Here is a 25239-nt window from a genome sequence, read left to right as displayed (position 1 = left end):
ATATATATATATATTTTTTCTCATATATATATTCTCATATATATATACTCTCATATATATATTCTCATATATATATACTCTCATATATATATTCTCATATATATATACTCTCATATATATATTCTCATATATATATACTCTCATATATATATTCTCATATATATATACTCTCATATATATATTCTCATATATATATACTCTCATATATATATTCTCATATATATATACTCTCATATATATATTCTCATATATATATACTCTCATATATATATTCTCATATATATATACTCTCATATATATATTCTCATATATATATACTCTCATATATATATTCTCATATGTATATATACTCTCATATATATATTCTCATATATATATATTCTCATATATATATTCTCATATATATATACTCATATATATATTCTCATATATATATACTCATATATATATTCTCATATATATATACTCATATATACATTCTCATATATATATACTCATATATATATTCTCATATATATACTCATATATAATATTCTCATATATATACTCATATATATATTCTCATATATATATACTCATACATATATACATATATATATACATATATATATACATATATATATATATATATATATGTATATATATATGAGAGATTATGAGGAATTGGCTCATGTGATTGTGGAGGCTGAGAAGTCCCAGGATCTGCTGTCTGCAGGCTACAGATTGGGAAAGCCAATGCTTTAATTTAGCCTGTGTCTGAAAGCCCGAGAACCAGAGGAGCCAGTGGTGTAAACTCTAGAGGGAGGGTTGAAGAAACTGAAATCAAATGACCCAGTTCAAGCAGTGAGGAAGGAAAAAAGGGACAAATTCCTTCCTCTGCCTTTTGTTCTGTTCAGACCTTCAATGGGTTGGACTCACACTGGGGAGGGCAATCTACTTAACGGAGTCCACCGATTCAAATGCTAATCTCATCTGGAACCACCCTGCAGACACCTCAGAAGTAATGTTTAACGCCCTAGAAATAATGTTTAATTTGGGAAGCCAGTGGCCAGTCAAATTGACACAAAATTAATGATCACAAGGGGAAAAGAGACCTCAGTATGGAACTTGGCTCAACTCCAAATACAACATGGACAAGTAGGGATTTACAGCCAAGGAGGAGCAGGGGTAGGAGTGGGGAGGGGGTCAGTGAATGGAAAATTACTAAGAGGAAACATTAAGGGTAGGGGGGATTTTGGTTAAACAGACCTAACAGGATTCTTGCTGAAGGCAGGACCAGGGTGGTCAGACATGGAGGGTGAGGGAACTCTCTTTAAACTGAGTTAGAAGGTTTCTTGCTAACACCAGGTGATGCAGGTCCTGTAAGGATGGATGCTAGGGTCGAGGCCTGGGCTCAGAGGAGCCTGACTGCAGTTTAGTCAAGGAGAGAATCTTTGTCAGTATTGAAGCTTTCAGATTCAGCATTTATTATAACCAGATCTCAATTGTGTAAAATGCTAAGGAAGGAACTTGCCCTAATTCCTTGAGCTTCCTTCATCCTCTCTCTGAACCAGCCCCCCACTTTCCCATAAGGACATGTTTAGGAAAGAGGCAGAAAAACTTCTGACTCATAAAAACTGGTGAGGAAGAAGGAAGAGCAGAAGCGGAAGCCAAAATGCACATAACTATTTGCTGAAACGGTTTTGAGCATACTTTGCGGTCTCTTTTGTAATATATACCTAGCCCCTACCTATAATGCTACCTTACTTTGGTGTTTCACACATACAAGGCCCATTTGAGGTCACCCTAATGTGGCAAGAGACCAGTGAATAGGAGCTTAACTTCAAACTTAGAGTCTTTATGAAAAATGTCAACGCGCTGAACACGAGGACATCTGAAACCTTAAAAGGCCACAGCAAACATCAGGGCAGCATGCTTGAGAACAGCAGTGTCATAGATACAAGCATGAAAAGAAGTAAAGCTGTCATAAATGTGAAGGAGCTGGCGAAAGCACATGGAGTTTTATTAAGGCAGATAGCATTCCGTACAATCATCCTGAATAGTTTTCTGAGTAGCACTTGATGATCCTACCCTTTCCGTAATTTGTTTGTTCATTGTTTTGGAGGTGAAAGGGTGTGCTTGTGAGGGTGTTTGAGCCTCCTTGTCCATGGTATAACCGGTTGGTTTTGTTGCCCTCACTCTTCAGGCGCTGGACTCTCATCCTGTTTGTTCCCACTCTGGGAGGCACCACCCTTTCTAAGACAACTGCTTTCTTTTGTTTCTGGTTCAACTTTGTTAAGTCAAAGTATAATAAATATCAAGATTGTTTGAAGCCAGAAATAGGCCACTGTCCAAAATTGTGTTCATTCCACTTGCTGGTAGATAGCTATTTTAAATAAGTCAGGCTTGCCATTAATTCAGTTCTGCTGCACTGTTCGTATTCTGTTCTCATTCTCTTATCATGAGGGGAGCTTTGAGTTTTATCATCTCTACATCTCTGTGTTCTTCGTGGTGATTGGACAGTTGCCACTCTCCATGACTACCGTGACTATCCCTGACCACCTGTCCAGCTAAAATTTCAACACAAATGCTGCACAGCTAAGCTATCTGATGGTATTAATTATATATTTATTTGACTGCACTGTTTCTTTTTTTCTAATTGTATGTAGGAGGGTGTCTTTAATGATGTACAGTTGGCAATTCTGACATCCTTAAGGGTGGTGGCATTCAAGCTCGTGACTGCCATTCACAGCAAGAAATACATTTTACATCATGATCCAGTATACATGTTCATGTTATATATGATGTGTAACTAAAGTTTGGTTAAGCAACACTTACCCTATTATGTGTGATATGGTCTATAGTTTCTATTATTTTGTATTTTACTTCATTAAAAAATGCAGACTGTGCCTTAGCAAGTGGGCGTCCTGATTCAGGAATGGGTTACAATTTGAGTCTGAAAAAGAACTGCTTAACAGTCATCAGGTATTAGGGAGCCTTAGCATGCTAATTCTGAAAAGTCTTTGGAGATTATCTATAGGCATCTTCCCGTTTTCCTCCTATTTTACAGTTGGAGGAATTTAAAGTCCAAGTAGGGTAAGTCTTCCTTGCAGGGAAACAGTGGTGCTCTCTGTGTGTGCTATCATGTGCTATCACACCTATTTATTCCTGGAAGCACACAGTGTCCAGTTGAACCACAAGGGCTGTCTACTTTTTGAATCTAGCAATTATGCTTCTGGATGCCTTCCTGGTGATGAATAAACTGTTCACACTTTCCCTTCCCCAATTAAATCTTGAGGTATTTTCTCCCTCCATTAGTTTATTATACATCATTCTGAGCTAAAGGGAAGACTGTTAACAGGGCATTGAGTGTGGTGTATCCTCTTCTATGGATGGCATGCAGCTATCATTAATCATAAACTCAAAACAGTGGGTTGAATAAGGAACAATTTTAGGTACATACTTAGACATTAAAAAAATCTAAATGTGCATTTTCTGTAAGGTAGTTGTAATCTTAGCGTTGGACAACTGCATAGATCTTGGTGTATTTGATTATTTGATGTTTTTTCATTTTTCCTTTATAAACAGTAGTGATCTCCTTGTAACAAAATATGACATTTTAAATTTCATTGTTTCTGTAGTAAAGGGAATTACAGCATCTTATGGTCAAACAATTAACATCAACTTTGAGTTATTGATACCATTCATAGTGTATTAGTCAGCTCAGGCTGCCATAACAAAATACCAAAGCCTAGGTGGCTTAAGCAACAGAAATTTATTTTCTCATAGTTGGAGACTTGAAGTCCAGACCAAGGTGCCAGAATGGTTGCTGTCTGTGAGGGCTCTCTCCTTGGGTCACAGAGAGCATTTTCTCGCTTCCTCATATAGCAGAGAAAGAGCAAGTGAGCAGGCTCTTTGATGTCTCTTTTTATAAGTGCACTAATCCCACTGGACCAGGGCCCCAACTTCATGAACTCATCTAAACTTAATTACCTCTCAAAGGCCCCATCTCCAAATACCATCACACTGGGGATTAGGGCTTCAACATGTGAATCTGGGGAGACATAATTCAGATCATAGTACATAGCTAAGGTCTTATTGGGGTTTAAGCATTGGCTGAAGCATGCAAATAACTTGCCTAAATTACGTTTATTAAAGACAGACTCTTCCATTTGAGTGAATGGATATTTTTCACACTATAATTCTTATGACATTCAGTAGCATTTATTTTATATTTTTCTTAATAATGCAAGTACTGTATATGGAAGAGCTTACAGTTAAAATGTGAGAACAACATTATACCTTTAAAAAATTATTTTTGCAGTTTTTTTCCTAATGTAGATTCTAGTCCTTGTTAATAGTTAATGAATTTCTAAACAGCCCAGCACTATTTTCAAAACTTAATATAGAAAAGTTACCCAACGTCATTGAGAATAATGCATATTTTAATGAAAAACAGTTTGTGCAAAAGACATATTTTAAAACAACTTTTTATATTTATATTTATTGCAGTGTAGAGAAGAGAGGAATTTCTTAGCATGAAACTGTAGGGAGCCAGGTATTTGTCTACAAGAAATGCTATAGAGAGCCATGCCAGTGACACACACAAAATATCCATTCAAACTGAAGAAAAGTAAACTAAGAGGGGGTACTGACAATAAAAAATTGTTTTAAAACCCTTTGTTTGAATGGTGTTGGTGCACCCCTATTTTAAATAAAGTCCTTAGATATGCCCAAACCAATTCTTATTTATTTTCTGCTGTAGGAAAGCTGTTGATTAAGAAGGGATTTTTTTTTTTCTATTTTTCTTGTTTCTAGGTTTAAACTGGTGTGGGCTGTTTTACAACTTTAGGGGCCTTTCAATTTCTGTGGTGGGCTTTTGTATAAAGAGTGCTGTGCATCTAGATGAAATAGTCTGTGTCTCTTTATAGCATCTTTGCTTATGTGCTTTTACACATTATTATCACATTTTTTTTTTGTTTATTCTATTTCAGTGTTTAACTGCTGAAGAGATCTTTTCCCTTCATGGCTTTTCAAATGCTACCCAAATAACCAGCTCCAAATTCTCTGTCATCTGTCCAGCAGTCTTACAGCAATTGAACTTTCACCCATGTGAGGATCGGCCCAAGCACAAAACAAGACCAAGTCATTCAGAAGGTATATTAGAAGCATTTTTTCTCTTTTATTTGAAAAGTCTATGAACCATTGTGAAATGAAGTTAATATGCCTCTTTTTCTGCTTTATTGCTTTTAATTAATCTACATAGAACTTCTTCGAATAATACTTATATTTTGAAAGTATTTGGAATAAGAAGAATTATAACTCATTTAAGCTTCATAAGTTATGCTCTTCTCTTTGTTGAATCAAAATTACATTTAGTACACTTAAAAACTTTATAAAATCCAGTTCTTGATTTTAAACAATATATATTTTATGCTGTGCATATTGGATTGCATTTTCTTTGGCTTATAATTGATCATTTCATTTCCATTATCTTTTGCTTACCATATTATTTTAAAGCTTGTCAGTTTATCTGCAGTTACCAATGAAGAGATAAGAGAACTAGCATGCTTCTAGATTAAATTTTCAGGGACCAAATTATTAGTTTTAATTTTCATAGGTGAAAGAAAATACCAGAGACTATTTTAAGTGACTATAATGGTATTTCCATGAATATGTACTTTAACGGTATGATCTGATGCAAAGAAATTTTAAACCATAATAAAATATATGTATGCTTAATATACAGCTCACATGCTTAAATGTGTAGAAGGGTCACTTTCACCAATGAGATAAACCAATTGTTCAGGGAGTCTGTTTGAAAATTATGTTGGAATTTTAAAGTTTCGTTCATTTGTTCATTAAGCAAATATTTATTGAACGACATACCAAGTATTGTTCTGTGCACTAAGGAGTCAATGGTAAACAAGAAGAATAATTATCTGTCTTTTTAGGGCTTACAGTGTAGTGGAGAAGATTTAAACAAGCAAATTTAAACAAGCAAATAAACAACATAGTTTCAGAGTGAAAGGTGCTATGAAGAAAATAAAATATTAGTAGGTGAGGGATAGAAGGTGATAGTGGGTGAGTGTCATCTTAGATAGATCAAGGAAGCCCTCTCTGATGAGGTATCATCTGAGCAGAAGGAGAGGGCCACAGCAAGGTCGTCTCTAGTGAAGAGCATTCTTGATTGAGGGCACAGCCAACATAGCTTGGCAATGAGCTTGGCATGAGTGAGGAGCAGCAAGAGGCTCCTATGTGTCTGGAGCCTAGTGAGTTGGTGGGGAAGGTAGAAGGATATATGTCCTGGCGGGAGATGGAGACCAGGTGAGGAAGCCTTGCGGGAGGTGGTAAATTGATTGGGTTTTATTCTGAATGTAGTGTGAAGTCACTGTACCATTCTAAACAGGGGAATGCTGTGATCTCATTCAAATCTGTTAAAAGGGCATTCCACCTGCCTACAATCTGAAGAACAGATTGTAATGGGGCAAGAGTAGAAGCAGGGTGATTGGTCAGGAAGCGATTGCCAGGAGCTGATGCCAGGATGATGGGGACTTGGACTAAAGTGGGGGAAGTAGAAGTGGGGAGAAGCAGTAGATTCGGGATGAGTCCTGGAGATCATGCTAAATGGTTTGCCCTGGATTGATTGTGGGAGAGGGAACAATGAGTCAAGTCTTGAGCCAGAGAAACCGGAGAGATCGTTATACCATTTCCCGGGATGGAGAAGACTGGGAAGAGCCCTTTATTGTAGAGGAAGGGAGTGGTGAGGATAAAGAATATAATTTTTGGCGTGGTTGCTTTGAGACATTGACATACACAGGTAGACAGGGAGGTCCAGTAGGCAAAGGCACACAGACATTTGGAGAGGAGATTGCTTTCAGAGGAGAGGTCAAGACTGGGGATTTGCCAGTCTAGAGATGATATTTAAAGACACTGGGGCTAGGCACGGTGACTCATCCCTGTAATCCCAGCACTTTGGGAGGCCAAGGCAGAGGATTGCTTGAGGCCAGGAGTTCAACACCAGCCTGGGAAACATAGTGAGACCCCATCACAACAAAAGTTAAAAGAATTAGCTGACATGGTGGCATGCACCTGTAGGCCTAGCTACTTGGGAGGCTGAGGCAGGAGGATCACTTGAACATAGGAGGTCAAGGCTGCAGTGACCTATGATTACCCCACTGTACTCCAGCCTGGGTGGCAGAGGGAGACCTCATCTCAAAAAAATAAAAATAAAGATGCTGTTCTGAGTGAGCTCATCTGACAGGAGTATAGATAGATAAAGAGAGTAAAGATAGAGAAGAAAAGGGAAGACTTAACAAAGAAAGTGCCTGTTTTCATTTCCGGATTCCTTTGTGCATGTACACTTCAGTCTCCCTCTATATGAATAAAAGAAATAACAACAACAATGACAAAAATAACAATGATGATAGCCAATTCTTTTGTGGTACTTACTATATGACAGGCACTCTTTGAAGTACTTTACATATTCATATATTAATTTCATGCAACTATATGATGTAGACACTACTATTCCCATTTTACAGCCAAGAAAACAAAGGTACAGGGAGTTTAAAGTCATTTGCTCAAAGTTACACAACTTGCATGTGGTAGAGCCAGATTCAGCCCAGGTTGTCTTGGCTTCAGAACCCATGTTCTCATTGATATTCTGTATTTATATATACAAAGCATAGAAATCACCAAGTATCATTTATCAATATAATTTGCAATTTTGTGAATAACAGTAATTTCAATTTTGAAATATTAGTAATTTTGAATTGCTAATTGTTCAAGCAAATATTTTTGCTAGAGTATATTTATATTTCTACAAGCCTGTTTAATACAGTTTGCACTTTACATTAAAAAGTAAATTCAGCAAACGCTTTAGGATACTACCCTTGACTAATAGTATTGCACAGTAAAAGCACAGACTCTGAAGCCAGTTTACCTGGGCTCAAATCCCAGCTCTGTAATTTTCCAGCTATGTTGAGAACATGACTTTAACCTTTTCCTGCCTCAGCTTCCTCATCTAAAATAGTACCTTTCTTATGGGCTTGCTGTAAAGATTAAATGACTTAATATTTGTAAAGTACTTCGAACATTATTCAGTACCTAGGTGCTGTGGTAGGCCTGTTAGTTAGGTCTGTTAAATAACTACATCTAACGTGCATAACTCTAGGTACAGGAAGTGAGGTTTCAGAAAAAGCAAATACTCTACTCTGTGCAGGTTACTTACTTATATTCAAAAGTAATTTTTTAACCCCAGTTGCTCTGTGCAAGTTAATTACTCATATTCAAAAGTAATTTTTAAACCCCAGTTGACTAGGTTACTCTGTTTCAGGAACCAGGAGTTGAGAACTGGGAAGTCAGAAGCAGGGTGTGAGAGGTAGAATTCTAGGGACAACACTACAAAGTCATAAAATGGAAAAGTCAGCAATTCTAAGTTATGGGATCACCAAATATTCAGACAGATAACCCAATAAAAAGAGAAATGCCTCTTAGGGTGCATATTGTCTTAGGAATTGAAATGAGGCTGGAGTGGAGTGGGATCGGGGGGAGAAGATATGGAAATGTTTCCAGGGGAATTTAGGGAAACTAGTAGAGTGCTTGTTACTACTCATCTAAGATGTTTAACTTGGCACTCTATTGCCTTTTTGATGTGATATCTTGATTGTTTTATTTTAGTGCAGCTGTATGATTATTTAATATCTCTATGGGTCAGTTACTTTAATAGTACCTTTATAGAATTGTTGGGAGTATCAAATGAGTTAATATACGTAAGTGCCTAGAACAATGCCTGGCACAGAGGAAGAAGAATGTCTTTGTTCTTATACATGTGTTCATAGGTTCACCACATTCCCTGGCCCCTGTGTTATCCTATTGTTTTTCTCACTAAGAAAAACATTTTAAAATAATTAAATGCACTGGATTTTTCATATAACTTTTCACTTAATGAAGAGTCAAGTCTTTAGCTCATCCAAAGCAATAAAAAATCAACATAAAAACAATCCAAATGATACAAAAATTTGAATACATTTATGTTGACATTTCAGTGGGTAGACAGTAAAATTTCTCAGAGGCCTCACATTTTATTTTTGAAAGTATTTCATGTGCTTTATAAAATGATATTGATGAGTACAGTAAACTGATGATAAGTTAAATTCTCTAGGAGAGAAATTAATTGCATTTTAGTAATAATTTAATGGTCTGAAATTGCCTCACTTTTTGATGAAGTTGCAGAATCATATTTAATTCATATAGTAGATAAAATAAAGAATATTAATTGAAGCATCCTTGGAGATCATATTGTCCAACTCTGTAATACAACTAGTGATGTAAGTCCAAGTTCCAGAGAGGTTAAGTGGCTTCTTGTAGGTGTCGTACCTAAGGTGAAATGAGAGCTCCTGATTCTTAGTTTGTTCTTCTTTTCACTGAGTAACAGTGAATTAAATGAACTAACATTTATATCATGGTCTACTTACTAATTTTTTAAACATAATTGTAATCAACATTTATTAAAGGCTTGCTATATTCCAGGGACAGCATTAACTGGTTTTATTTTATTCTTGTAATAACTCTATGAAATAGGAGCTATTTTAATCTGCATTTTAAATATGAGAAAACTGAAACTTAGGGAAGTCAAGGAACCAACCTATGATGCCAGTGAGGGGATGAGCTGGGATTTGAACACAAATCCTCTGGCTCCAGAGTTCACACTGTTAAACACCATTCTATACAGTTTCACAGTTAAATGGGGCCAGGCAAAAATTGAAGCCTGGGCTGTATGCAGGTCTGCAAAATGGGTATCATAATAGAACCATATTTCCTCACTATTAAAATGGGAAAAATAGCAGCACCTATCTCATAGGGTTGTTGTGAGAATTAAATGAGTTAAAATAGGTAAAGTTCTTAGAAGAATCTTACACAGTGGACAGTCAATAAATGTAAACTATCCTGACTGTATTTCTTTGAAATCTATTAAAATCTTTCAGGGTTCACTTATAAGGAGACTGGTCCCTCTCTGAAACAGATCGTTTGAGAAAGTCCCACGTATATATGGAGATGTCCAAGGAATAGATTCATACTAATGTATACTTTTGGTGCTTCAGTTAAGTGGAAAGTGCTTCAGTTGAATGGAAACTCCAGACATTTTTTTCTGAATGATGTTCTAACAATACAAGAAGGGGAAGCTATGCAGTGTGCTTAGAATGTGATGAATTACACTCCCACCATCCCCCAAGTTGTGCTGATAAATGTGCAAGGGCAAAGAAAGTTAGAAAGTTGGATAAGCAGATCGATTGGTATTTCTTTTTGACAGAGTTCTGCTGCACCTTGAAATGGGGAATTTATCAATTCATTCAGCAAGGAATGTGTGCTTTTTCGTGGACAATTTTCTAGGCACTGAGGATGAATAAAACATAGCCCTTCTCATTGAGAATCACACAGTTTATATGATGTAGGCAAATATATCAGTGATAAAATTACTGTAGCACACAAGAAGTGGTAAGTGAACAAAGAGTAATGGGAATCCTGACCAGCCAGGGAGTACTGCCTGGAGAGCAGGGAAGCTTCATAGAGGAGATCTTTGTGTTGGCTTGGAAGGCCACGTATGACTTTCTTAGGCAAGGAAGATAGGAAAGTGTTTTCAGACAGAGAACCACAGTGTAAAGGTAAAGCTCGGTTGGGAAAACATAGTGTTTGGGTAAAGGCCATGTTGAGAAGGGGGTAAATAACACTGGAGAGGCTGTGCAAGGGTCAGTTTATGAGGGGCGATTTCAAATGGGGGCATGAGATGATCACTTTTGTGATTTAGTATAAGTCTGTAGGCCATGTCAGCTAGTAGGAGGGGCACCAGATCGATAACTGTCATGTTATATAAGATGAGGGAGTGAGAGGTGATGAGGGTCTGACTTCAAGACCACTGGCAATGAGGATGGAGAGGCTAGAGGTGAGAGATGCCTGAAGCAGAACTGGTAGGGTTTGATCACCAGTTGTCTATGGAATTAATTGGTGGAAAGTGAAAAACTGAAATTGATCCTACTGTTCCTGTTATTTATGTAGGTAGTGAACAAGGGTAATGGAACAGGTGTTTGCAGGGAAGCTGATGAGTTTAACATGTGCATGTGGCTTTGCTTCTATTGGCACTTAACAATTTCTTTGCCTTTTAATTTTAGTTTTCAACATGTATATATCTTGTCTACCCAATGAGATTATAAATATTTGTTGAATGAATGAAGGCATGTAGGCTAGTGATGGATAGAAGTATGTTTGTGTTAAGAGAAATTCCATGTAGATCTACCACGATAAAAGGTGTGGAATTGAGAACTCTCTCCAAGTGGAATGTCTGTGGGGACTAGTAGTATTGTTTAAGGTGATAAGGTAATAAATGGGAATGAAGTGGGCTGTTAGGTGAAGTTGTAGGGCATGGCCAGGACCTGCAACTGATAGGAAAGTGTCTGGAGAAGATGCAGTCGTCATGGTCAGTGCTGTGATGATTCTCGGGGTTACATAGTACCATTTATAATCTGACCTTTTCATTTGGTACTTAGCACAGGTGACTTTGTATCACTCTGTGTGTGTGTTTGCACTTGTGTGTGTTTGTGTGTGTGTGGTGGCAGGAGCCATGGTTTGGTCCACGTCATCTAGGCTGAATGAACATTTACTAAGTTTGTTTATTTGTACATAGAAATTCTAGACTAACAATAATTATAGTGAACAATCTCGTGTTAATAAAGTATGTATAATTCAGGAAAACATTTTTACAGTTTTATTGAGTCCTTTGGGCTTTTGAAAAATGAGATTATCTCTAAAGGAATAATAAAGCATATGCTAAAAAATGTGGGCCTGGGAGCCAGACTGTCCAGGTTCAAAATCCAGCTTTCTATCTGCGTGATTCTGGCAGGTTACTTGAATTCCATCTGCTTTGGTTTCCCCAACTGTATGAAGGAGGTAGTAGTATTTCTCTTACAGGGTTTTGTGAGGTTCAAATAAGTTGACATATGTTGATCACTTAGCACAGGGCCTGGCACATGGCAAATGCTCCCTGAGCTGTAGGTGTTACTAGTGTACTCCACTGACAGTGCCATGGAGAAAAGTGGCCCACCATTTAAACATGCTTTCTGGATATTTTAAAGAAGTGGCTATGCAGAGGCAGCTTTCTCCTCTGTCACACTGTACTTTGTGTACAGTGTGTGGGGCCAGAGGCAAAGTCACATGTTGCACAGCCCTGAGGCCACGTTGTATCTCAGCCTGCACCCACACATAGGTGACTGTCCTGGGTATGTTTCACTTGTGTTCCCATTTTGTCCTTACACCAGCCCCTTTAAGATAGAGAGAGGGAAATTGAGGCCCAAAGGCAATAGGTCACACATGCCATTAGCTATAGAGCTTAGGATAGTATTCATTCATTTTATTCTAAGCAATACTTATTGTGTGCCTACTGGGTGCCAGGCCCTGGGTCTCCAGAGATGAAAGATGCACCACCTTTTTCTGTCACCAGCATCTCTTCTGTATGGAATATTTTTGCCTAATTTGTGTCTCACAGGGTGGGTTATGTAATGCAGCTGCTCCCTCCTGCCCCATGTGCTCACTTCCTGAGTGCTTATTGCATCAGACTGACTTTGATTCCCAGGAGGCTCCAGCTGGGGACCTGAGGTGCTGCTGGTGCCACCTTCTCTGAGGAGATGCTGTCCTCAGGAGTCTGAAGACAAATGATTGTGACAAACTCAGTGTTAGCAGCTATGGTCACCTTGAAGCTAGCTCACTGTGACCCATCTCCATCCCTGCCCTCCCACCCATCACCCCATACCTTTGTCCTGAGGCTCACACTGCCCCTGTTTTTTCTTTTTTTTCAAAATGCTGTTTTAATCTATTCCTTGAGCCATAGATGAAACTAGGTGGCTTGGAGCCTGTGGATCTCAGATTGTTTGTCGCTGTTCGCTGTTCTAGATGTTCTCCAATTTCCCTGCAAGCTGTAAAACTCATTAATCCCATAATGATGATTTAGGGCTGATTAAAACATAAACAGTATTACTATTAATGCTTGCTATGCCATATTTGTATTCTCAGTTTTCTATATACTTTTCATTGAGTAGATTTTGTTCTTTTAAAGAAGATATGTGTCTTAAGCTTTTAAAGACACTTTTAAGCTTAATGTACAGGAAAACATCATTTGGTTCCTTGCTCTGATTAATTTCTACTCTCTTTTCCCTCTGACCCACAGTTTGGGGATATGGATTCCTGTCAGTGACGATTATTAATCTGGCATCTCTCCTCGGATTGATTTTGACTCCACTGATAAAGAAATCTTATTTCCCAAAGATTTTGACCTTTTTTGTGGGGCTGGCTATTGGGACTCTTTTTTCAAATGCAATTTTCCAACTTATTCCAGAGGTAAGGATGTTGGCTATTTGTTTCTGTGAATAATTGTTTCTTTTGAACGTTTTAGCACTTTGTATGTTTTTAGCCTCCATAATTCTTACAGCGTTTTATGGTCTAGTTTATAGTGTCTTGGATAAGAGAAAGCTGAATCACAGCAATTGTAAAGGCTTGTCCCAAGCTGCAGTGGATATCACTATCAGAGACAAAATTAATATTCTAGGAGGCCAGCCACTAGGACGTGCTCAGACAGCTCTGGGACACCTCAGAAGGCCTTAAAACTTTATTCTGCCTTGCACTTGGCAAATTTAATTTTTCCACACACTGTTTCATTATTTATTTATTTATTTATTTTTCTAAAGAGCATGCAATGTCAACTGTACTGCAAATGTCAAATGTAAATTTATAATGTATTTAACATATACCACTAAATTCCCTCATATATTTACTACAGTTATAAGTGACTAGAGAGTAAATGAGAGCATGGTTGACAAACCTTTTCATTTTTTCCAACTGTGGAAAAAATATCAATTGAGGACTAATAAATAAATAGCAACTTATTTTTTTTCTTTGATAAAATGTGTTATTGATCTATCTTGACTATAGTGCACACTATTCAATTTATTTCAAATCTGTGTTGTGCCCATATAAGGAAGAGAAATGGAGGAAGGGAAATAAATGAAAGGAAAAGAGAGGCAATGTTGAAGAGGAAGGAAAGGAGAAAGAGACTTTCATAGAAGGGATCCACAAAGGGGAACTAGAGAAATATATGTATACATGGACTGTATCTGCCACCCACAATGCACACACACAGGGAGAGACAAACCCCATACAGAGAGAAAATATTAATAGTATTTCAGGGAGTACCACCCTTATCTCGTAATTTTTAGAAAATTATAACTAAAGCTTCCTTTAATTTTTCAAGCTATACATTGAAAGTGGGTATATAACTTTTTAGAGTTATAGATTTATTATCATTATTTGATCTAGGACCTAAGATAATATCTATTTCACAGCCTCAATTGTAGAGATAAAAAATATTAAAATTTAGGGTGGTTAAATAATTTGATTATAGCCTTACAATCAGCTAGTAACAAAGCTAGGATGACAATACAGATTTTCTGATTTAAAAGAGTATTATATACATAATACATTTAATATGATATAATATATGTATTTATTATCTCATCTGCTTTATGGGTCAAAGTAAATTAAACAAACTAATACTGTATGTGGACTAAAGACTCTACATTGATGATGTTAAGGTTTTCTATTTTCTTGAAGTTTAACAATATAAAGAATCTGTCTTTGTAATAATCTCTCAAATTTTCATAGAGTTTTTTGTAGCAAAATGATTTTCCTTTTCTTATTTCACTTTATTTTCATAACCTCAATGTTAGGTAAATGGAACATTTATATTTATATAGCCATTTTGCATTGTATAAACAGGCACAAAGAAGTTATTCAAATGAGGATGCGGCCATGATGTCTCCCCAGAGGCAAACATAGGACAAGAACCCAGACATCTTCTATTCTGCTTCAGAGGGGAGATTTACAATGTGTGGAATGGTGTAAAGTTGTGGCTTTTCACCCATTAGTCTCTCCTCTGATTCTATTTATTTGAAGTTTATGTGTCTTGTCTGTTAGGAACATCTTGACTCTTTATAACTTCAAACTCTAACTCCAGTTCTTTGTCCTTTAAAGAAAGAATTATTCCATTCTTATTGCTGTGTGTGTGTGAAAGAGAGAGAGAGAGTGGTGGCAATTTTAAATCTTCTTTTTGCTTTTATTCTTGGGCCTAGGCCTTGATTTATTTACCTTTTTAGGATTTATCACAGTTCTGTAGGTATAAGAGGATTTCTCTTGGGAAAACAGTAATCCAAGTGGCCTGCCATATTTGTTTTAAAAGTTTGATTCTGGATATCATGGACTAATATATTACTTTTAGAGACAGTAGGTAATCAATATCTCATTTATCTTCATTATCTAGACCTAATATCGTATTCTAAAGATGAGAATCAGAGCTGCTGCTTTACTGCTAAAAGTTTACTCTTTCAAGGCAAATATTGCTGTAGGTGTTATAGGTGGGAAACTGTAAGATTCTCTGGTGGCTTTATTTAATGAGACTTCTAGTTGTAAGGTTTTTGTGCCATCTCATACAGTTTTGTCATTCAAATTTCAAAGTTTTTGTTTTGTGATTTTTGGCAGCTAAGTTTCCAATATTACTTGGATGTGAAGAGAGACTTAGAACATTGGTGAGAATTGCATACTGGTATTATTTTCCAGAAATCAAGTTAAATTTCTTGGTTTTACTTGAATTGCCCTTTTTTCTCCCTTAGGCATTTGGATTTGATCCCAAAGTCGACAGTTATGTTGAGAAGGCAGTTGCTGTGTTTGGTGGATTTTACCTACTTTTCTTTTTTGAAAGAATGCTAAAGATGTTATTAAAGACATATGGTCAGGTAAATGGACTTTATTTAAAACATCCAATATTTTACCCCCTAAAGCTACTTTATATAGGCAAATAAAGACAGAAATTTTATTTTTAGAATTATGAGAATGGTCCAGTTATTAGGCTTGTGAGTTTAAGGAGAACAAAGAGTCAATATATTGACAAGTATAAGATAAATACTTGATTCATGTTGTAAAATTTGGAGGTTATTTTTGTTTTTTTTCAAGTATCAGCAATTTAATATTGAATAACAGATGTGCATAATTCATATTCTATTCATATTCATCAAAATAAGAGTGTATACGTGTTCTAACACGAACAAACAGTAACAGCAGAATCTAATAAATGAAAATACATGTAAAAAAGAGAAATTTTATATATCTAAAAATACTTCTTTACACATAGAATAGACATACAATTTTCCTCTTATAAATAAAAAGCAGTAAACTCTATTTCCTTGTCTGTATGAATCATCTTTTTTCTTCTTATAATCTCTTTGGTTTTTGTTCCCATATAGAATGGTCATACCCACTTTGGAAATGATAACTTTGGTCCTCAAGAAAAAACTCATCAACCTAAAGCATTACCTGCCATCAATGGTGTGACATGCTATGCAAATCCTGCTGTCACAGAAGCTAATGGACATATCCATTTTGATAATGTCAGTGTGGTATCTCTACAGGTATATGTTAATTCCATTTTTCCTTCATTATACTGCATTCTTTATACTGTGTAAACATGACTGTTTATGCAGCTAAGTCAGTTTTTGTACATTTATGTATGTCAGACTTATTCCTATATATGTGGGGTAACTGGAATGTAAGTCTGCATTGTTTTTCCACCTTCCCTGTATATGTTTACTCTAAACAAGTGAGTTAAGAAAGAAATTGTGGATCACTGTTCTGGACTTCATTATTCTCTAAGATTATTTACTATATGAGAGTCTCTCAATTGCATTTATACAATATTATATAGCAAAATTTATTCAGAGCATTTATTTTACAATTCTTTGAAGATCCAGAATCAAATAATCCTTTGATTGATTTTGAAATTGCAAGAAGATTTGCAAATTATTAAAATTGTTTTTATTAATTGTCTGACTTATAATTTATATTTATATCCACATCTTCTAAATAATATTAATAGGCACAATTTCTTGAGCACGTATCATATACCAGGTAATATGCTTAGCACTTAATTATTTGATCTCATTTACTTTTTATAACAACTACTCAGTGTAGGGATTATTTCTTATGTATTAGAACTATATTGGTTTCAAGTGATAGAAATCAAACAAAATTATATATGCACAAAGGACAACTTACTGGAAAGATACTAGATGACTAATAGAACAGCCAAGCTACAGGAAAAACAAGAACCTAGGAAACATTAGAACCCCTAGGACTCTCCCTCCTTCTCTTTCCTGTCTCTTAGTATCATTCTTTTCTTTCACTGTAGGCTATCTTTTCCATAAGTGGGATACATAGCCACTAGCAGTTCCTGAGGTTTGTCTTATAATTTCAGCTACTAGAAGGAAATTGACCTGACTCTTTCAGTCCTAAATCCAAAATCTCTGGCAAGTGTCTTCCTGGTTCAGCTTGAATTAGATGATCACTTCTAGACTAATCTAAGTGCTTAGAGGGCTGGGCCCCTTTAATGGTATCAAGGGAATGTGGATGGAGTAGAGGAGTGGTTATCAAAAAGGGATGCTGAAAAGATAGTATCACTGGTGTCTACAACAATTCTCATTTGACAGATGAAGAAAGTGGAACTTTAGATGTTAAATAACCCCTCCAGGTTTACTCAGCTAGTGAATGGCAGATCCACAAGCTATATAGTTAAACATGATATAAAAGTGAACAGCTAAAAACAAAATAAAAAGGAAAGCCAGTTAAGGGGAAAAAAAGCAAAAAAAATAGAGCAATCTGGAAGAGATTATTATGGCAAATACCTGAGTTTCCTTCTGGAAAGAAAACATGATTGGTCATATGCTTCTCTCCACCTGATTAAGGAAAATCTCAAGTGTATTTGAAGAGCCAGTTCTGTGTTAGCACTCAGCTAAGAGGAAATTATTTTTTGCAGTGTAATGAATGATGCTTTCAGCCAAGAGTTTGCAAAGAATCTGGAAATGTTCAAGTATATAATTTCTTACAATAATAATTACAATTAACATTCATTAAATGCTCAAGGACTATGCCTAGAACGTTAGATGAATTACTTCATTTGATCTTCCTAATAACCTAGGGGGCAAGTGCTGTTGTAATTAGGAGAGTATGACTTAGAGAGGTTAAATAGCAAACCCAAAGATGCTCAGTTCCTAATGGCAAAGCTTGGATTAGTACCAAGGCTGCCTTATACCGAAGCCTGTGTTCTTATATACTTTGCTGGACTGCCTTCCTTATGTTGCTGCTCTACTGTAAGCAAGATGACAACATCAACTGTTAAATATTTATTTTTTGTAGTGGGGAAAAATAATTTGACCCAAGGATATTGCTTTCTGAGGATATATTATTTAATGCGAGGCACAGCAGAGAAAGCCTAAAGAATAGTAGTTAAAACCCTTCCTTATACCATGTGTCTAAATTCTAGTTGCCTTACACAAGCTTTTGGCAAATACTGGATTATAGTGAGATTGTGGTTGAACTCTGACAAGTCATTCAAGAGGTGCCAGTCAGCTATATTGCTAATTTAAACATTGATTAATAATTCTTTAGATACCAGATGGCAGAGGGATAATCTGCCATGAAATTTGGAGCCTAACTTGAATTCTTGCTCTGATGGAAGATTTTCCTGTATCTTTCCAGCGTTAACAAGATAACTTTAGGCAGGGCTACACTTCTACAGAGAAGGAGCTTTGAACCTGGTCCAACCTTGAACAAGTTCTCCCCTGGGATCCTCAAGTCCTGTAACACAAAGCACGGAAGAGATACAGTTTGAGATTTAAAATATTTAAAGGGCTGATCACCTCCTTGACCATACTAGAAACTCAGTGTGACCTCTCCTGATTTCAGGAAAGTTCCTTCTGATGAACCTACTAGGATAAACTAGCTGCTAAATGTGCCTTGAGTATCAGAATGAGCTGATAGGCATATTTATATTTAGAAAGGAGGATGGCTGTCAAAGCCTTCAGCTTTTGTGAGAGGCTAAATTATTTTTTTAAATCATAATTAACAAATAAGTTTAACTTCTCCAAAGTTATATTTTAGTTAAAGATTTAAGGCTCCTGATTTAGGATTAGCTATGGGCAGAAGACATGTTTGCAGTAAATCTAAGCACCATGACAAAGATGAGGCCCTCGACATGATCCTGTTTTACATAATTTTGAAATAAAATCAGAAGGCTGTTTTTATTCCACTTATGACAGTAATGCTTTCATTTACTTATTCAATAAACATTTATTGAGTTCCTGTTCATTGTCCTAGGCACTGGAAATTCAGAAGCAAATTCTTGAGGAGCTTACAGTTTATTCAATGGAAACATAAAATATAGAAATGAGCAAAACAAGAAAATATCATATAGTAATAACCTACCTTGATGAAACTAAAGCATGGTGATGTGAGAGTGATGTGTGGGAGCTTCTTTTGATTGACTGTTCAGAAAAGGTCCCTCAAGGTGTCAGTAGGGAATTGTATAATGAGAAAGAACCAGTCATGCAAATATCGGGGAAGAAAATATGCTAAAGACTTTGAGAATAATCAAACAGGTCACACACAAGGGACCTGGAAGCTGAATGGTAGTGGACTTCCCCACATCAATGCTGGAGAGCAGTGGCACAATTCCTTCAATATTCTGAATGAAAACAACTGTGGAATTATAAACCTAGGTAAACTACCTATCTAGTGAGAGGGAATAATGGAACTAAGATTCTGGAAATACACTTCCAGGAATAAGAAGGCAGCTGAAGAAAGAAGAGAAGGTGCGTGCCAGGGTGACAGCCCTGCACCAGGCCTTGAGATAATAGTTTTGACGTTAATTTCTTATGGGGACTATTTTCTCGCTATTTTGGTTGAAGGTATAGTCTCAAATAAATAGACATTTAAACAAATTGAGCAACAGACTGCAATTTTCAGTTTTGTTTACATTGCACAAAAAATCAAAAGAAATGAAATTTAAGAAATAAGTAGGTCTGGATATTGCTTTAAGAGAGTAAGTATTACAATATAAGTGATAGTGATTTTAATAATAAAATTAAAATACTTTCTAATATTTTATATTATAAAAATAATCTAACCTAGGTGACCCCATTAAAAGGATTGAACATGATAATATAACTCAGGGTTCAATTTGAGTTACAAGTATGGATTTAAGAATTTTGTTGACAATCCCGGCTGTCACTGCTTCAACAAAGTTTTTCCAAATTGAAAATAATAAGGAACTCTCTAAAAATTACAGTGAGTTAAGAAAGGTGGTCTAATTGGCATTACTGTCAATAGAATGTAAATTATGTGAAAATCTAGATTATAAAAGCATAATTTTTGATCTTGCTGAAATGTAGAAAGAACAAAGACATGTTATAGAATACTTAAACTGTATGACTTAGGAATGTCTTTATTATTCATCCAAGCAATTCTGGCTCATTACAGAATACTCAGCTAAGCAATAATATTTAAATTTAGAAGTCTCTGGTGTTTTATCTGTGTTTAGTCATATAAAAATCATAGTTTTACACATATGTTTTTATTTTGTTTTCATGGAAGCATATTTATCACAGTGAAATAATAGAAGATATTAACATTTAACAGTTAGCTTGATTATAACTTTTAAATATTTAGACGAAATGATTTGAGAGTTCCTTAATACCTTTGCTCCAGGCCTACTAAGTGTGAGGCACAACAGTCTATGTGGCATGCGTGTGGGCACGTGCATGCTTTTTGGGGAAAAGTGGGGGTCACAGAGGGGTAAAAAGGAAGATGTAGGAAAAAGAGGGGTGCACAAGATGCTATTTCCCCAGTTATTCAGTTATTGTTACTAGGTAATGTGTCACATGTCACCTTGTGACATGCTTTGTGTTTTTCTCTTCGACGTTCCTGTGTAGCCAAGTGTGGAGTCATTTCACTATCTCTGCAGCCGGGTGGGGCTCCCCAGCCCAGACACAGCCTTGGTGTTTGTTGGATGTTGATTGCTGAGGAATGTTTGGTACTTTGGGGAGGGTGTCAGCTCTTCAAGGCCACTAGAGGGACCCTGGAGCTCGTTCCTCCAGCAATCTGTCATCAGTCTCTCTTTTTATGAAATTTCCTGTGCTTTCATTTAAGAATAGATACTATTAAATATAAAGTGATTTTTAGAAGTTGATTATTGTGAATTTTATGTGTAAAGTTGAGGTGCAATAAAATAGAATTTAGCTGCAAAGTGTGGAGATGTTAGGGAGATTTTCTTTGTTGATGACTGATATGAAGTGACACTCTATGAATAGAATGCTAACATTTTTGAGGTGGTTGGGCCTCCATGAGAGTTTAAATACACATAATTCATTCAACAAGTATTTTTCCAGTACTTAACATATACTTGGCATTATTCTAAGTGCTGGCACATAGGGCACAGTGGAGAGGAGATGAGGACCCAGAGCAGTTTTCAAGAAGTAACAGATGAGGTGAGACAGCAGAGTTCACAGATTCCAAACTTTCCACCCTTCCATAACATAACTGAAATATTACACATTTTGCACAGAAAAATGGAAAGCACTCTTTTTTTTTTTTTAAGTATGAAATACAAAAAAAACTGACTGGAAGTTCTGTGTGTACATATATGCATGGGGCTTGTCTACCAGTCTTTTGGGTGGTGTGTTTTTCTCCATTCTTGCCTGGCGGTGGGAAGAAGGGTAGAATATTACTGGCTATCACTTGGGAAGTGGAGTGGGAGGAGAAGGGGACTGGGGCACTAAGAATATTTGACATAACACCCCTTTCTTTAGTACTGTACTTCCCAACTGTCTTCAGTTTGCTTTGTGTCTTTGAATTGAGGGTCTCTCTAGTTCACTTTCCCCAGGGGTAGATCTCCAGTCATCATTTGGGGTGGCTGCCTTGCCACATTGGCTTGGGAGGAAGGACTTGAGGTTCTACTTGTTCCCTAAATAGACTTGCAGCCACTTCTCTTATGTTTAGTTCCGGTCTTTGCCCTCTGCCTTCAGAAGTACTTGGTGCCTCTAATCCCTGAACTTTTTTGAGGTTCTGGGTCCTGCATCACTTTGCTTCTTGTTGACTTTCTTTGTGAAGTCAGTCAGAACTTGCCTTCCTCTTTCCATCTTCCAAAATACAAATCTCAATGCTGTCATGTTGTCTCTCTTTCCTCCTGTCCTTGCAGTTTTATGTCTTTATTCCTTTATAAGGACATAGCTTCAAGAGGGCATTTCAGGATGGACTAGAGATAAATATGTATATCTGGTCTGCACTATTTCACTAAAAGACCATTTACTATTTTAAATCATATAGTTCTTGAACATCACAAGATTTAAAAACAGAAATTAGTTAATTTCCCCTATAATAACAATTAATTAAAATAGAAAACTATACAAATAATAAAATGACATAAGAAATGATTTCCACTGATCTTGATTGACTGGTACTTACATAAAAACAGTAACTAGAGGCAGATGATATAGCCAATCATGAGGAGAAATTCTGGGTTGTCTTTGCTGTTAGTGGAATTTCTCTCTCACTGGGTCTATCTCAGAGCATCCCTGCCCTGGACAGGTCATTTTATCTGGCTTTACTCTATGTGTTGCTAAGGTCATGAAAATTGGTACCTGAATCCACTGAATTTAGCCTACTTTCACTGATATGAAGTATACTTTTATTCATGAAAAACTGTTCTAAAGTTTTTTTTTTATTACTCCACAAAATTCTTATTTCTTATTTTCTTACTTTAACAAGGAGACTGAGATGATGATTTGGAATGTGTGAACTCTGCTGTCTCACCTCATTACTTCTGTTACTTCTTAAAAAAACTACTCTGGGTCCTCATCTTCTCTCCACTGTCCCCTTTGTGCCAGAACTGGTGTCCTTTCTCCTTTTTAAGGCCAGTTCCTCTAAATATTCTCATCTTTCCTGTGGCCTCTTCCAGTTTTGTTTTGTTTTGTTGTTTTAGGACAGGGTCTCACTCCATAACCCAGGCTGGAGTGCAGGGCTTAATCAGAGCTCACTGAAATCTCAAACTCCTTAGCCTCAAGGGATCCTCCCACCTCAGCCTCCCAAGTAGCTGAGACTGCAGGCACATGCCACCATGCCTGGCTAACTAAATTTTTTTTGTGTAGAAATGGGGTCTTGCTATGTTGCCCAGGCTGATCTTGAACTCCAGGTCTCAAGTGATCTTACTGCCTTAGCCTCCCAAAGTATTGGGATTACAGGTGTGAGCCACCACATCTGGCCTGTTTTCATTTATCTTTCCTGAATCTCTCCTTTTCCCGTGTCTACAAACAAGTTCCATCTTTTCTACCTCAAGGTGTTATTTTTTTCCTCAATCTGCTACTCCCAAGTTTTCTCAAACCTTCTTTCCCACAACTGTCCAACTTTTCTAAAGATTGGCTAATTCTGAAATAAGACTATATATGTTAGACATATTCTTAAATGCTTTACATATATTAACTCGTTTAATCTTCACAGTAACAACCCTGTGAGGCAAGTACGATTATTATTTCCATCTTGCAGATTTGGAAACTGATGTACAGAGAAGGTAAGGAACTTACCCAAGGTCACACAGGTACCACATTAGGATTGAAGTGCAGGAATCCTGTTTCCTGGTCTGTTTGGTTAACTTACCTTACACTACGCTGCCTATTGTTTCCATTTGTTAACCAGCCTTCCTCATCATCTCCGTACATGCTTAATCATGTACAGTTTCTAAACTCACTACCTATTCTCTGAACATTTTTAGAATAATGTAAGTGGTTGTTCTAGGCAGCATGTGATATTCCTCTTTTTAAAATTAAATTAAATTATTCATTTTTTTTGAGACAGGGTCATTGTAACCTCAGACACCTGGGCTCAAGCAATGCTCCCACTCCGCCTTCAGAGTAATTAGGACTACAGGCGTGGGCCACAAGCTATGTTCCTAATCCTCATTCACTCTTTCTTCCTGAGCCATTCCTATAGTTTAACACGTAAGTGAGTACCTATTGTGGGCTAAATGCTAGAAATATAAAGGCAGGTTTTTCGCTGGAGCCCCTCCCCTCCCTGTTGAGTTACTTATGAGGTGGTCTTGGTAACATGATACCATCCTTGCTCTGTCACCATTTTAGCTGCTGTAATACTTTCCTGGTGCTTCTTCTGAGTCTCCTTTTCTTGCAAGGCAGTTGGATGTGGAAGAGAAGCATAGGCTTTGGAATTACACAGGCCATTGTTTGCATCTTAGGATTAAAATATGTTGTTTGATTTGGGAAAAAATAATTAACACCTTTGAGCCTTTGCTCATCTGTTAAATGAGGAGCAAAGATTCTTAATTTACTGATTTTTGTGAAAGTGAAATAATTTCTTATGGGTCAACTATGCAACATTGTGTCTAATACATTGTACACTTGTGATAAATATACATCTCCCTCCCTCTTCCATTTACCATTTTTGTCTTTTCTTAGTTTTTATCATAGTCATCAAGTCGCATCACTTCATCTTTTGCACCTTTGGGAATAGCTTCTAAATCCATATGCTTAATTATGTAAAGATCATCACTTAAAAAGATGACTTCTTGTAATAAACCACATAGCTGTTTGAATCTATTTGTATATGTTCCTTCTAGGTTAGGGTAACAAAATGAGAAGGTAAAATATACAGAATTCCATTCTTTCTCATTTTTCTTATCTACCTTAAAATTTGAGTAGATTTTCTAGAAAGTAAAGCTGGACTTTAAAAGCTCATAGGTAATTTAGTAATAAAGACAACCTTCTGAATATAAATGCCCACAAGCCTGCCTTTGACCTGTCAGATAAATTAAGAGAATTTGGAACATTTACTCTCTCTTAATGGAAGAGAATCTTAAAGTCCAATATAATTTGCTATTCAAATGACGATTTATCAGGCTTTGCACCACCGATTCTCTGTTAGAGCCTTGAAATACCAGCTAGAGCCACTTGCCAAGGAAGGAAAACACTACATTAAGAACTACTTGCTTTTCCCCAGATAAAAGCTTGTCCAAGTTATGTAAATTTGACAAAAGCATTTTATTTGATAGCTAATGTCAGGAGGGATCTAGGGTTATCTGTTCTGGTTCCTTATGTTAGCTAATCATTTGGCCAGCTAGTATATTCCATTCTTGTGGAGGCTGGTGGCATCAACATTTACACAGAAAGTTCATTAAAAAATAAAACAAACATTGGGCCAGGCACTGTTGGCTCATGCCTGTAATTCCAGCACTTTGAGAGGCCAAGGCAGGTGGATCACTTGAGTCCAGGAGCTGAAGACCAGAGTCCAGGAGTTGAAGACCAGCCTGGGCAACAGTGAGACCCT

The 25239-nt window shown here is 36.6% G+C and overlaps 1 protein-coding gene across 9 annotated transcripts in view; it reads left to right on the top strand.

Moving 5' to 3' along the window:
* SLC39A8 (solute carrier family 39 member 8) overlaps positions 1-25239 on the top strand; it is a 94442-nt gene that overhangs the window by 24679 nt on the left and 44524 nt on the right. For 7 of the 9 annotated variants that reach the window (NM_001135147.1, XM_024454184.2, XM_047416070.1 and 4 more), the window contains 4 exons: positions 4974-5136; positions 13199-13368; positions 15693-15815; positions 16323-16487. In NM_001135147.1, coding sequence (NP_001128619.1) covers positions 4974-5136; positions 13199-13368; positions 15693-15815; positions 16323-16487 — 621 coding nt within the window. Of the gene's footprint in view, positions 1-4973; positions 5137-13198; positions 13369-14802; positions 15609-15692; positions 15816-16322; positions 16488-19227; positions 19855-25239 lie in introns of those variants that run through there. The other 2 variants (XM_024454183.2, XM_047416071.1) reach the window with 2 other exon arrangements.

Source organism: Homo sapiens, chromosome 4 (genome assembly GCF_000001405.40).
Source record: "Homo sapiens chromosome 4, GRCh38.p14 Primary Assembly".
In the NCBI taxonomy this organism is placed as follows: Eukaryota; Metazoa; Chordata; class Mammalia; order Primates; family Hominidae; genus Homo; species Homo sapiens.
The sequence above is the reverse complement of the archived record's forward strand: the minus strand, read 5'-3'. Positions and strand labels throughout refer to the sequence as shown.